Below are 15,275 nucleotides of genomic sequence, written 5' to 3' on the forward strand. Positions count from 1 at the left end.
GCCAAGTCAGGAATGCATTCCCATTCACAATTGCCACAAAAAGAATAAAATATCTAGGAATACAGCTAAGCAGGGAGGTGAAAAATCTCTACGAGGAGAACGATAAAACACTGCTCAAAGAAATCAGAGATGACACAAACAAATGGAAAAACATTCCATGCTCATGGATAGGAAGTATCAATATCGCTAAAATGGCTATACTGCCCAGAGCAATTTATAGATTCAATGCTATTCCTATTAAACTACCAATGACATTCATCACAGTACTAGAAAAATTATTTTAAAATTCATATGTGTTGGGCACGGTGGCTCATGCCTGTAATCCCAGCATTTTGGGAGTCTGAGGTGGGCAGATCACCTGAGGTCGGGAGTTTGAGACCAGCCTGGCCAACATAGTGAAACCCCATCTCTACTAAAAATACAAAAATTACCTGGGCGTGGTGGCAGGTGCCTGTAATCCCAGCTACTCGGGAGGCTGAGGCAGGAGAATCGCTTGAACCCAGGAGGTGAAGGTTGCAGTGAGCTGAGATCGCACCGTTGCACTACAGCCTGGGTGACAAGAGTGAAACTCCATCTCAAAACAACAACAACAACAAAACATTCATATGGAACCAAAAAAGAGACCAAATAGCCAAGGTAATCCTAAGCAAAAAGAACAAAGCTGGAGGCATCATGCTACCCAATTTTAAGCTATAATACAGGGCTATGGTAAGCAAAATAGCATGGTACTGGTACAAAAACAGACACATAGACTAGTGGGACAGAATAGAGAACCCAGAAATGAGGCCACATAGCTGCAACTATCTGATCTTTGACAAAGCTGACAAAAACAAGCAATGGGCCAGCCTGAGCAACATGACAATACCCCATCTCTACAAAAATTCAAAACTTAGTCGGGCATGGTGGCACACAGCTACTCAAGAGGCTGAGGCAGGAGCATTGCTTGTGCCTGGGAGGTTAAGGCGGCAGTGAGCCATGATTGCAGCACTGCACTCCAGCCTGGGCAACAAAATGAAACCCTGCCTCAGAAAAAAATAATAATAAATTAAAATTAAAATTTAAAAAACCAGCAATGGGGAAAGGATTCCCTAGTCAATAAATGGTGCTGAGATAACTGGCTAGCAATATTTAGAAGATTGAAACTGGACCACTTCCTTACACCATATACAAAAATTAACTCGAGGGATTAAAGACTTAAAAGCCAAAACTATAAAAACCCTAGACGACAACATAGGCAATACCATTCTGGACATAGGAACAGGCAAAGATTTCATGATGAAGATGCCAAAAGCAACTGCAACAAAAGGAAAAATTGACAAATGGGGTCTAATTAAACTAAAGAATTTCTGCACAGCCAAGGAAACTATCGACAGAGTAAATAGAAAACCTTCAGAATGGGAGAAAATTTTTGCAAACTATGCATCTGACAAAGATCTAATATCCAGCATCTATAAGGAACTTAAACAAATTTACAAGGAAAAAATAACCCCATTAAAAAGTGGGCAAAGGACATGAAGAGACACTTTTGGAAAGAAGACATTCATATGACCTACAAGCATGTGGAAAAAAGCTCAACATCACTGATCATTAGAGAAATGCAAATCAAAACCACAATGAGATTGAGATACCACCTTACACCAGTGAGAATGGCTACTATTATTATTATTATTATTATTATTATTATTATTTTTGTTGTTTTTGAGACGGAGTCTCGCTCTCTCACCCACGCTAGAGTGCAGTGGTGTGATCTCGGCTCACTGCAAGCTCCTCCTCCTGGATTCATGCCATTCTCCTGGCTTAGCTTCCTGAGTAGCTGGGAATACAGGCTCCCGCCACCACACCTGGCTAATTTTTTGTATTTTTAGTACAGACGGGGTTTCACTGTGTTAGCCAGGATGGTCTCAATCTCCTGACCTGGTAATCCGCCTGCCTCGGCCTCCCAAAGTGCTGGGATTACAGGTGTGAGCCACCACGACCGGCCATTATTATTGTTATTATTTTGAGATGGAGTCTCACTCTGTCACCCAGGCTGGAGTGCCGTGGCATGACTTCAGCTCACTGCAACCTCTGCTTCCCAGGTTCCAGTGATGCTCCTGCCTCAGCCTCCTGAGTAGCTGGGATTACAGGTGCCTGCCACGCCAGGCTAATTTTTATTTTTATTTTTTTGAGACGGAGTTTCTCTCTTGTTGCCCAGGCTGGAGTGCAATGGCATGATCTCGGCTCACCACAACCTCTGCCTCCCAGGTTCAAGAGATTCTCCCTTCTCAGCCTCCCAAGTAGGTGGGATTACAGGCATGTGGCACCACGCCCAGCTAATTTTTTTTGTATTTTTAGTAGAGATGGGGTTTTTCCATGTTGGTCAGGCTGGTCTCGAACTCCTGACCTCAGGTGATCCACCCGCCTTGGCCTCCCAAAGTGCCGAGATTACAGGCGTGAGCCACCACGCCTGGCCAATTTTTATATTTTTAGTAGAGACAGGGTTTCACCTTGTTGACCAGGCTGGTCTTGACCTCCTGATCTCAAGTGATCTGCCTGCCTCAAGCTCCCAAAGTGCTAGGATTACAGGCATGAGCCACCATGCCCAGCCCATGGCTATTATTACAAAGTCAAAAAATAATAATAACAGATTCTGGTGAGGTTGCAGAAATAAAGGAATGCTTATACACCATTGGTGGGAGTGTAAATTAGTTCAACCATTGTGGAAAACAGTGTGGTTTTTCCTCAAAGACCTAAAGACAGAACTACCATTTGACCTAACAATCCCATCACTGGGTATATACTCAAAAGGATTTAAATCATTCTATCATAAAGACACATGCATGTGTATGTACATTGCAGCACCATTCACAAGACCAAAGACATAGAATCAACCTAAATGCCTATCAATGGCAGACTGGATTAAGAAAATGTGGTACATATACACCATGGGATACCATGCAGCCAAAAAAAAGAATGAGATCATGTCCTTTGCAAAAACATGGATGGAGCTGGAGGCCATTATCCTTAGCAAATTAATGCAGGAACAAAAAACCAAATACCACATGTTCTCACTTATAAATGAGAGCTTAATGATGAGAACACATGGACACAAAGGGGAACAATAGACACTGGGGCCTATCAGATGGTGGAGGGTGGGAGGAGGGAGAAGATCAGTAAAAATAACTAATCGGCACTAGGCTTAATACCTGGGTGATGAAATAATCTGTACAACAAACCCCCATGATTAAAGTTTACCTATATAACAAACCTGCACATATACCCCTGAACTTAAAAGTTAAAAAAAAGAAAGAAAAAGTTGAATTTGTGATTTTTTGTGTCCTAGTAAAATTAGATACTACTATAGTTAGTAGTAGTATTATCTCATGTAAGTAATTTTTGTAAAGGCCTGGAGAGAGTAAAAAAAAAAGGAATATTATGAGCAACTTATGCCCACAAATTTGATAACCTAGATGAAATGAACTAATTCCTTGTACAACACAATCTGCAAAAACTCAGACAGAAGAAATAAACTATCTGAATAGACCTATCTCTATTAAAGAAATTGAATCAATAATTTTTTAACAAAATTCACATTTTATTTAGATTGAAATAAACTATACAAAATTGATTTTCTTCACCAAAAAAAGCAATATTTCCATATTTTTCTAGATAAACCACAACACTTAGTTTTGTAGGTTTTCCAGGTTTTGTTTATAAATCAAGATGAGGCAGTAGATAAGAGTCACGGGAAAAGACAGAAAAAAAAACAGACAAATCAGTTGTCAGTATCCATGGCCTCTGATTCTGTCTTAACCATGAAACAGAAGTGTTCAACATATACCTGCTAAAAAGCTTATGAAGATGTAGGCTCCACAAAGGAATGTAAACAGCAATAACGAGATGTGGAACAATGGCAGGCTCTTCCATTCAAACTTTGTCATTTGTTCCTTTAAGTTCAAGAAAGACAAAATCTACACTGAAATCCTTGTTTGGCGAGCTCACAAGCTTTTCTCCAGTAATTTCTTGTAACTGTCCAATATAGATTTTTAACATACTTAAAACTCCTATTAGACAAAGGTCAATTGTGGGCTCCACTATAACGTTTTATAAAATGTAGTCCTTCCTCTCACACCTCTTCAAAATATATTTCTTCAAAGAATTCATAACACCCAACAAGTAGAGATCCATAGTGATAATAAATGCTATGTCTAAAATGACTTAACTAAAACAATTCCAGAGTGCCATGCAGAGATCACGCAGAAGGAAACATGGCATTTTCAATGTTCTCTTCTGGAAAAACAGGTAGGTCTTCAAAGCATGAGAGTTCAAACAGGGGCCATTTAAACAGGTAGATTATCAATGGCTAAGGTATTCAATGGAGTTCTGTAGGCAAAGATATTTAGTGATTAAGTGGCCTACATACATCGTACGGCTTTTCTTCCAAATATCAAATATAAGATAGCCTATTTTTAAGAGTCTTTTAGGTATTTTCCACGGTTTCGGAATTATCTGTGGGAAGCTCTGACTTACTTGTATAGAGTTTAATATATGTGTCCACCACTAAATCCAGGTGGTGTTTTATATCAAAATTTATGTTAAGCAAAGCCAAGATACTCGACCTTTGGTCTGTCAAAATGATCCTCAAATATGCTTTAAGGCGCTTTCGTCCATTTTCATACTGCTCATTCTCAACCTTCATCACAGGAAGAATACACAGGACCTTCAGCAATGCATACACATTAGGAAAAAACTTGATGTCAGGCAGGTGGAGGGCTTCATAGATGGTGGATGGAAGCTCTATATCTTTCCCCCTGTGTTTCCATTTGATTCTCCAACAATGAAGCTTGGCTGAGAGCATGTCAGAATTGGGTAAGTCACTTCTATACGTGTCAGCATAGTGTTCCTCTGATGTATTGAATTTGAGTTGTCCCATGACTGAGGGTACCAGAGATAAGCATTTAAGAGCTCTGAGGTGCTGTTCTGAGAATATATCTTTAAGTTCCTGAATAATGTGCTCCACTGTTGGGACACTTAGGGTTTCTTTATAGTAACTCTCAGAGGTTAGCTAAGATTCCAGGTTACCCTGGTGAGCTCTGCGGAATTTCCCAGGGAGTTTCATTTGAATATCAAGTTTGGTTGCCAAATTTGTGGCTTCCTCAAACCAAAATTCATTATAAATTTCAATATTTTCCATCACTTCGTTGAGTGAATGCAGTACTGCAGTCAAGCTACTGGCTGCAAAGAAGACATCAGAGGTTTGCCCCTGGAGATTTTTCCCAAAGGCTCTTTCAAAAGATAGGACATTTTTTAAGAACAACAGTAGTAACAATGAAATCAAAATCTGTTACTGTACTGCAGCGTACAAATACTCGGCCAGCTATACAGTTATTCCATCTAATATTTCTCACTGAGAATGGCAGATCTCCTTCAGTTCTTTACCCCTTTCTTTACTGTTCTGAAAAAGAACAGAAATTACATTGTGAAGTTCTAAAAGCAGTTGTGGTGATCGATGGAAAAAAGAACAAACTTCCTCAATTGTTCTTAATGCAACGGATACTCCCATAACAGATACTGATTTTGCCAACCACATATTTAAGGCACAGGAAGAGCAGAGTGTGTAGACAGCTTGGGGATATTTCTCTAAAGGTCTAGAAGCAACAACTTTCATTTTGGAAGAAAATCCGCCAGACACGGTGGCTCACGCCTCTAATCCCAGCACTTTGGGAGGCCGAGGCGGGTGGATCACAAGGTCAGGAGATCAAGACCATCCTGGCTAACACGGCAAAACCCCGTCTCTACTAAAAATACAAAAAACTTAGCCGGGCGCGGTGGCGGGGGCCTGTAGTCTCAGCTACTGGGGAGGCTGAGGCAGGAGAATGGCGCGAACCTGGGAGGCAGAGCTTGCAGTGAGCCCAGATGGCGCCACTGCACTCCAGCCTGGGCGACAGAGCGAGACTCTGTCTCAAAAAAAAAAAAAAAAAGAAGAAGAAGAAGAAGAAGAAGAAGAAGAGGAGGAGGAGGAGGAGGAGGAGGAGGAGGAGGAGGAGGAAGAAGAAGAAGAAGAAGAAGAAGAAGAAGAAGAAGAAGAAGAAGAAGAAGAAGAAGAAGAAGAAGAAGAAGAAGAAGGAGAAGAAGAAGAAGGAGAAGAGGAAGAAGATCAACTAGACACAATGTAAGCCTGGCCACAATACTCCATTATTGAATCCCCACTTCTCAGTTATCATAGTGTGAAATTTCACAGCCAAAATTTCTGTATGAACATCATAAGGCAGGAAGCCCATAAGGCAGGAAGCCCATAAATTCCTCTCTTAGGTTATGGGACTCATCAACAAACCTCACCAACACAGGTAGGTGCTCTTCCCCTGCTATGTCCACTTACATAGTCAGTGATAATGGAAAAGAAGTGTGAGTCTCTCATTTCCCTGTGAGTTTCTTCTCAAATACAGCTCTCACAGATCTCTAGCATCTGCCTCTGCTGTGTTTTTTAACAAAACAACGTGTTAACTGCCGTTGTGTCAAACTGCTTTCTCAGAACTTCTTCACCAGAATTTATTCGGCACTCCAGCAGTGCCTGAAAGTTATCTGGAGTAAAGAGACCTTCTGGGATTTCATCAGCCTCATGTCCATCCAGAGGTATGTTTTGCTTTCCCATCAGGATCAAGATTTCAAATAGAGATTTTAGGTATTCTTTGTTTTCCTTTTCTTCAAGGGTTAGAGGTAAAATGTCTTCATCTTGCCCTTCACTCTCTTCTTCACTGGGGTTCTGAGAATTGCTATTGTTGGTTTCTTTATGTTTTGGTTCCTGCTCAGAAGTTTCATCGAATTTTTTCTGTTTCAGTGTCCTGATTTTGTCTGCACTCAGTTCTTTTATTCGTTTTCTGTGTCTACTATGTGGGTTGTTCAAATGACTGGTAAGATCAAATATTGTTGGTATTACATTATCTATAAGGACTAGTTCTACAGATCATGGAGGTCTCCAAATCTTTGGCACATAATCGATAATGTTTATTTAGCTGATCAGGTGTTTTATCTTCTAAGTCTGCTCTCCTACAATTCTCCACCCACTTCTGGCATCTGGCCGGGTTCCGCGGGAACCTGAAAAGGCCAGGTCGGACTGCGTGCTCTTCCACGTGCACTTGGGGGCAGCGCAGAAGTTCGTCATCGTCGCCCGCCCGCCAGCCGGCCGGCCCAGCACCCCCTCCCCGCCTCTTCAGGGCAGTCCGCCCGCCCGTCGGGGCTGGGGAGGGGACTGAATCAATAATTAATAACCTTCCCAAACAGATGGCACTAGGGTTCACTGGTGAATTATACCAAACATTTAAGGAAGAATTTATATAAACTCTCTACAGTCTCTTCCAGGAGGTAGAAGCAGAGGGAACACTTCCTAATTTATTCTATGAGGCCACCATTACCCTAGTACCAAAATCATATAAAGATACTACAAGAAAAGAAAACTGGCCGGGTGCGGTGGCTCAAGCCATAATTCCAGCACTTTGGGAGGTCGAGGTGGGAGAATCACGAGGTCAGGAGTTCGAGACCAGCCTGGCCAACATGGCGAAACCCCGTCTCTATTAAAAATACAAGAATTCGCCAGGCGTGGTGGCAGGCGCTTGTAATCCCCGCTAGTCGGGAGGCTGAGGCAGCAGAATAGCTTGAACCCGGGAGGCAGAGGTTGCAGTGAGCCGAGATCGTGCCATTGCACTCCAGCCTTGGGGACAAGAGCCAGACTTCCTCTCAAAAAAAGAAAAGAAAAGAAAAGAAAACTACAGGCCAACATTTCATGAATGTAGATGCAAAAATCCCCATCAAAATATTAGCAAATATCCATAATGCATACAAAATTATACACCATGACCATGTGTGATTTATTCCATGTATGCAAGGCTAGTTCAACATTTGGAAATCAATTGATGTAATCCATCACATCTACAGGCTAAAAAGGAAGAATTATATGATCATATCCATAGATGTAGAAAAAGCATTTGAGAAAATTCAACACTCATTCTGAGTGATGCTATAGTAGTGTATACATTTGTCAAAGCCCATAGAATGTACAAAATCAAGAATGAAAATTTAAACTGTGGACTTTGAGTGATAATGGTGTGTAAAGGTTGGTTCATCAATTTGAAATACATGTACCACTTCTGTTGTGGAATGTTGGTGGTGAGGGAGGCTATGCATGTGTGTGAGAAGGAGTATATGGGATCTCCCTGTACTTTTCATTCAGTTTTGCTGGGAACCTAAAACTGCTCTAAAAAGTAAAGTCTATTTTTTAGAAAAATGGAGAAGCCATTCTGGGTCACACCCTAAATAACTGGTAGACCTGGAACTCAACTCCAGATTTATTTGAGCACAACTGTCTTGTCCTTATCCACTGTGCCACAAGATCTACTTTGAATTTCACCTTGTTTAATATTTCTTTGCTGAACACAATTGACTAGATGGAAAATGGACTTGACTCACCATTTAGAAAAGCAAGGAACCTAATTTTTTTGTAGAAATGATAATAATATATTTCTAATAAAGGGTACATTTCAGGAAGAAAAATGAAGGAAAAGTTAAGACATTTCTAGATAAAGAAAAACTGATGATATTCATCACTAGCAGACATGCCCTACGACAAATGCTAGAGCCAATCCTTCTTCTGGGTATATACTGAAAGGAGATGAAATCACCATCTTGTAAAGATATCTGCACTCTCGTGTTGTTGAAACATTATTCACAATAGCCACAATATGGATACAACATAAGTGTCCATCAATGGACAAGTGGATAAAGAAAATGTGTTTTTTACGTATATAGATATGTGTGTGTATTTATTTATTTATACACACCCACATATATAATGAAATATTATTTAGCCTTTAAAAAGGAGATACTGCCATTTGCCACAAAATGGATGGACCTGGAGGACATTATGCTAAGTAAAATAAGCCAGACACAGAAAGAAAAATATAGCATAATCTTACTTATATTGTGCACTCTATTTTTTAAAAGTCAAATATGTAGTACAGACAGAATGAAACAGTAGTTACCATGGGTGGGGATAGGGAAGAAACAGGAAAATGTAGGTCAAAGGATACAAAGTAGCAGATATGTAGGATGAACAAGTCTAGAGTTTCAACATACCACATTAGGACTGTAGTTAATAAAATTGTATTAAAGATTCTTGTCAACTAAGTAGAGTTTAGCTGTTCTTGTCACAAAAAAGTAACTATGTGAGATGATAGATATGTTAATTTGCTTCAACACAGTAATTATTTTACTATCTACATGTATTCCATAACATGTTGTAAACCTGAATACACAATAAGATTTATTTTTAAAAAATAAATGCTAAAGGGAGTCTTCCAGACTGAAATAAAAGGAAAACAGAAAGTAATTCAAGGATAGCCAAAGAAATAAAGAACAATGGTAAAGGTAGATACACAAGTGTTATTGGCTGAATTGTGTCCACCAAAATTTATGCATTAAAGTCCTAGCTTCCAGTACTTCAGGGTGTGACTATATTTGGAGGAAGGGTATTTAAGAAGTAATTAAGTTAGTGAGACCTAATCCCACATGACTAGTATCCTTATAGGAAGAGGAGATTAGAATACAGATACACACAGAAGAAAAACTATGCAAAGACACAGGGAGAAGATGGCCATCTACAAGCCAAGGAGAGAGGCTGCTGAAGAAACTAACCCAGTCGACACCTAAATCCAGGACTTCTATTCTCTATAACTACTGGAAAACAAATTTTTATTGTTTAAGCCACTCAGTCCGTGATACTTTGTTATGACAGCCCTAGCTACCTAATATAATAAGTATAAAAAGCCAGTAGTATTGCATATTTGGTTTGTAACCATTTTATTCCGTAGAATTTAAAGGACAAAGATATAAAATAATAATTTTAAAGTTATGCTAATGGGTACACAATGTATAAAGGTGTAATTTGTGACAATAACAACATAAAAGAGGGACAGAGCTGTAAGGGGCCAGAGTTGTCTAGTACTATTGAAACTAAGTATTAATTTAAAGTTGAGTGTTACAAAGATAAGATAGTAATTGTAATCCCCAGGGTAATCACTAAGGGAAAAACTGAAAATATACAGAAAAAGAAACAAAGAGGGATTCAAATGGTACACTAACAAAAAAAATCAATTAATCACAAAAGGAAGCACTAATGGAGGAAGTGAGAAACAAAAAAGATAATATATTAGTATGCTAGGGCATATAAATATATATGTATATATAAAATACTATATATATAAAAGACACATATTAGTATACTAGGGCTGCCATAACAAAATATAACATAAAGGGTGGTTTAAACAACAGAATTGTGTTTCCTCACACTTATGGAGACTAGAAGTTCAATATCAAGGTGTTAGCAGGTTTAGTTTCTCCTAAGTCCTCTCTTCTTGTCTTGCAGATGGCTTCCTTCCCATTGCATCCTCACATGGTCTTTTCTCTATGCATGCACATCCTGGTGTCTCTCAGTGTGTCTTAGTCTAATATGGACATCAGTCAGATTCGATTAGAGCCCACCATAATAGCCTCATTTTTACTTATTTACCTCAAAGGCCCTATTGCAAATACAGTCATCATCTGAGGTACTGGGGGTTAGCCTTTCAACATATAAATGTTGAGGAAACACAATTCAGCCCATAATAAGACATACAGTAAACATGGCCAGGCATGGTGGCTCACGCATGTAATTTCAGCACTTTAGGAAGCCAAGGCTGGAGAACTGCTTGAGGCCAGAAGCTTGAGACCAGCCTGGGCAACATAGTGAGACCCCATCTCTATGAAGCAAATTCAGTTAAAAAGCATTAGCTAAGCATGGTGATGCACACCTGTACTCCCAGCCAGGGTGACAGAGGGAGAGCCCATATCTTTAAAAAATGTTATTTGTGACATCAATAATATAAAGTGGGGGAGTGATGCTGTAAAGGAGTAAAGTTTTTGTTGTTAAACTTAAGTTGTTGTCAGCTTGAAATAGAATGTTATAACTTTAAAACATTTTATGTAGTTGCAATGGTAATCACAAAAAGAAAATACCAATAGAATATACACAAAAGGAAATGAGAAGGAAATCAAAGCATGTCACTATAAGAAAAAAACAATGAAAATGAAGGAAAGCAGTAAGAAAAGAAAGGAGGGAAAAGGGACAAAACATACAGAAAACAACAAAATGGCAGTAAGAAGTACTTCACTATCAGTAATCACTTTAAATGTAAGTGGATTAAACTCCCCAAAATACATAGGTTGGCTGAATGGATAAAAAATCAGGATCCACCTGCTTGCTATCTATAAGAGACTCACCTTAGATCTAAGGACATGCATAGACTTAAAGTGAAAGGATGGAAAAAGATACTACATAAAAATGGTAACCAAACAGAGCAGGATGACTGTACTAATATCAGACAAAATAAGCTTTAAGTCAAAAACTGTTATAAGAGACAAATAAGGACATTATATAACAATAAAAGAGACAATTCACCAAAAAATATTATAAATATTCATGCAACAAACATCAGAGCTCCTAAATATATAAACTTTGACAGAATTAAGTGAGAAAAGAGACAGCAAAAAATATGAAAAATAGACAGCAAAATAGTAATAGTAATAGGAGACTTTAATACCCTATTTTTAATAATGAACGGATAGAACAACTAGACAGAAAGTCAATAAGAAAATAAAGGACCTGAACAAAACTGTAGACCTATTGGACCTAACAGACATATAGAACAGTCCACCCAAAAAGAACAGAATATGAACATGGAATATTCTCTAGGAAAGACCACATGTTAGACCACAAAACAAATCTTAACAAATTCAAAAATATTGAAATTATACAAAATATCTCTTCCAGTCACAATGAAATAAAACTAGAAATGAATAGCAGAATGAAAACTGGAAGATCCACAAATATGTGGAATTTAAATAACACATTCCTTTTAAAAAGGCTTAAAATATATTTTAATAAATAATAACATATTTGTATACAGTCAATGGGCCAGAGAGGATGTCATGAGGGAAATTAGAAAATACCTTGAGACAAACGAACATGAGACTATTACACATCAAAACTTATAGGATGCAGTAAAAACTAAGTGTGAAGTTTATATGTGTAAACACATACATTATAAAAAGAAACATCTCAAATCAACAACCTTACTTTATACTTCAGGGAACCAGAAAAACAATAACAAACTAAATACAAAGCTAGCAGAAGGAAGGGAATAATAAAGATTAATCAGAGATGAAGGGAATAGATAATAGAATGCATCAATGAAACTAAGAGATGTTTTAACAAGAGCAACAAAATTGACAAATCCTTAGGCCAGTCATGGTGGCACACACCTGTAATCCCAGGACTTTGGGAGGCCGAGGTGGGAGGATTGCTTGAGGCCAGGAGTTTGAGACTAGCCTGGACAACATAGCAAGACTCTGTCTGTACCAATAAAAAAAGAAAGAAAGAAAGAAAAAACTTTTAGCTATATTAACTAAGAAAAAAAGAGAAGATTCAAATAACTAAAATCAGAAATGAAAAAATGGAACATTACAACTGATGCCAAAGAAATTTAAATGACAGTTAGAAAAAAATACTATGAGCAGTTGTATGCTGACAAATTGAACAAACTAGAAATAGATAAATTCATAGAAACACACAACCTACCAAGATTGAATCATGAATAGAAAATATTAACATATCGATAACTAGTAAGAAGATTGAATCAGAAATCAAAAACCTCCCAACAAACACACGCCCAGTAAGAAGGAGGCAGAGCGGCTGGGCACAGTGGCTCATGCCTGTAATCCCAACACTTTGGGAGGCTGAGGAGAGTGGATCACTTGAGGTCAGGAGTTCAAGACCAGCCTGGCCAACATGGTGAAACCCCATCTCTACTAAAAATACAAAAATTTGCTGGATGTGGTCATGTGCACCTGTAATCCCAGCTACTCGGCAGTCTGAGGCAGGAGAATCACTTGAACCTGGGAGTCAGAGGTTGCAGTGAGCCGAGATCATGCCACTGCACTCCAGTCTGGCAACAAGAGTGAAACTCCATCTCAAAAAAGAAGGAGGAGGAGGAGGAGGAGCAAGATGGTTAAATAGAAGCCTCCATTGATTGTCCTCCCCACAGAAACACCAAATTGAACAACTATCCACAAAATAAAAGCCCCTACATAAGAATCAATCATCAGGTGAGTGATCACAGTACCTGGTTTTAACTTCATATCACTGAAAGAGGCCCAGAAGAGGGTAAGAAAGGCAGTCATCAATTGTAGACACTATGTCTCTCCCATCCCCTGGCAGTGACAGTATGGTGTGGAGAGAGAATCTGTGCACTTGGGAAAGGGAGAGTGCAGTGATTGTGGGACTTACATTAGAACTCAGTGCTGTCCTGTCACAGTGGAAAGCAACAGTGGGCACAACTCAGCTGGCACCCATGGAGGGAGCATTTAGACCAGCCCTAGCCAGAAGGGAATCACCCATCCCAGTGGTTGGAACCAGAATTCTGGCAAGCCCCACCATGATGGGATAAACTGCTCTAGCGTCCTAAATAAACTTGAATGACAGTCTAGGCCACAACACCAGGCAGTGCAGCTTGCAGCTCCAGGAGAGACTCCCTCCCTCAGCTTAAAGAGAGGAGAGGAAAGAGTAAAGAGGGCTTTGTTTTACAACTTAGATACGAGCTCAGCCACAGTAGTAAAGGGCACTGGGCAGAGTCCTGAGGCCTCCATTCCAGGCCCTGGCTACCAGATGACATTTCTAGACACACCCTGGGCCAGAAGGGAACTGCTGCCTTGAAGGGAAGGACCCAGTCCTGGCAAGATTAATCACCTGCTAACTGAAGAGCCCTTGGGCTCTGAATAATCAGTAGTGATATCCAGGTAATACATGCCATGGACTTTGGGTGAGACTCGGAAATATGCTGGCTTCAGGCATAACCCAGCACATTCCAGGCTGTGGTGGTTATAGGGAGTGTATTAGTCCATTCCCACATTGCTATAAATAACTGAGTCTGGGTAGTTTATAAAGAAGAGAGGTTTAATTAATTGGCTCATGGTTCTGCAGGCTGTACAGGAAGCATGATGCTGGCTATCTGCTCGGCTTCTGGGGAGGCCTCAGGAAACTTAAAAACATGGCAGAAGGCAAAGGGGGAGCCAGCACTTCTCACATGGCAAAAGCAGGAGGAAGAGGGGAGGGGAGAGGTGCTACACACTTTTAAACAACCAGATCTCATGAGAACTCTATCACAAGAATGGCACTAGGGGGGATGGTGCTACACCATTAGAAACCACCCCAATGTTCCAGTCACCTACCACCAGGCCTCACCTCCAACATTGGGGATTACATTTCAACATGAGATTTGGCCGGGAACACAGATCCAAACCATGTCATTCTGCCCCTGGCCCCTCCAAATTGTCATGTCCTTCTCACATTTCAACAAAAGACGTGTTAATAGCTGCACCATTCATTATAGTCAAACACTGGAAACAACACAAATGTCCACGTCCATGTAGTATATTCCTCCAGTGAAAAATATGCAGCAATCAAAATGTATGAACTATTGCTAGACACAACATGGATGACTCTCATAAACTTAATATTGAGAGAAAGAAGCCAAACACAAAAGATTACACAATGTATGATTCCATTTATATAAAGCATAAAAATTGATACAACAAATCTATGCTATTAGTACAGGGAGGGTGGTTACTGTTGTAACAGAAGAGGTTGTAACTGTAAGTAGGCAGGAAGGCAGCTTCTAGGATGTTCGTAATGCTACATTTCTTGATATGTTTGCTGGGATATAGGGATTGATTAAATGGGAGTGTTCCATTTGTGAAAATTGAGTGAGCTTACATATCCACTTTTCTAAATAAAAGAGCTAACAATAAAAAGGCAAGAAGCCAAAACAATCAAATGGGGAAATGTAAGTCTTTTCAGCAAATGGTACAAGAATAACAGGCTATCCATATGAACAAAATGAACCTCAACTATTACCTTAAACCATATAGGAAAATTAATTTGAGATGGATCATAAGCCCAAACATAAAAGCCCAGACATAAAATCTGAAGTCATAAAGCTTTGAGAGGAAAACATAGGAGCATATGACTTGGGAATAGGCAGATTATTTATTTATTTTTATTTTATTTTATTTTATTTTATTTATTTTATGTTTAGTAGAGACAGTCTTGCTATGTTGCCCAGGCTGGTCTCAAACTCCTGGGCTCAGGTGATCCTCCCTCCTTGGCCTCCCAAAGTTCTGAGATTATAGGTGTGAACCACTACACCTGG

The 15,275-nt window shown here is 39.5% G+C and overlaps 1 pseudogene; it reads right to left on the reverse strand.

Annotated features, from left to right (window-relative positions):
- Positions 1-4,162: 4,162 nt before the first annotated feature.
- THAP12P1 (THAP domain containing 12 pseudogene 1) lies at positions 4,163-7,228 on the reverse strand (annotated as a pseudogene).

The sequence above is a fragment of the Homo sapiens genome, chromosome X (genome assembly GCF_000001405.40).
Source record: "Homo sapiens chromosome X, GRCh38.p14 Primary Assembly".
In the NCBI taxonomy this organism is placed as follows: domain Eukaryota; kingdom Metazoa; phylum Chordata; class Mammalia; order Primates; family Hominidae; genus Homo; species Homo sapiens.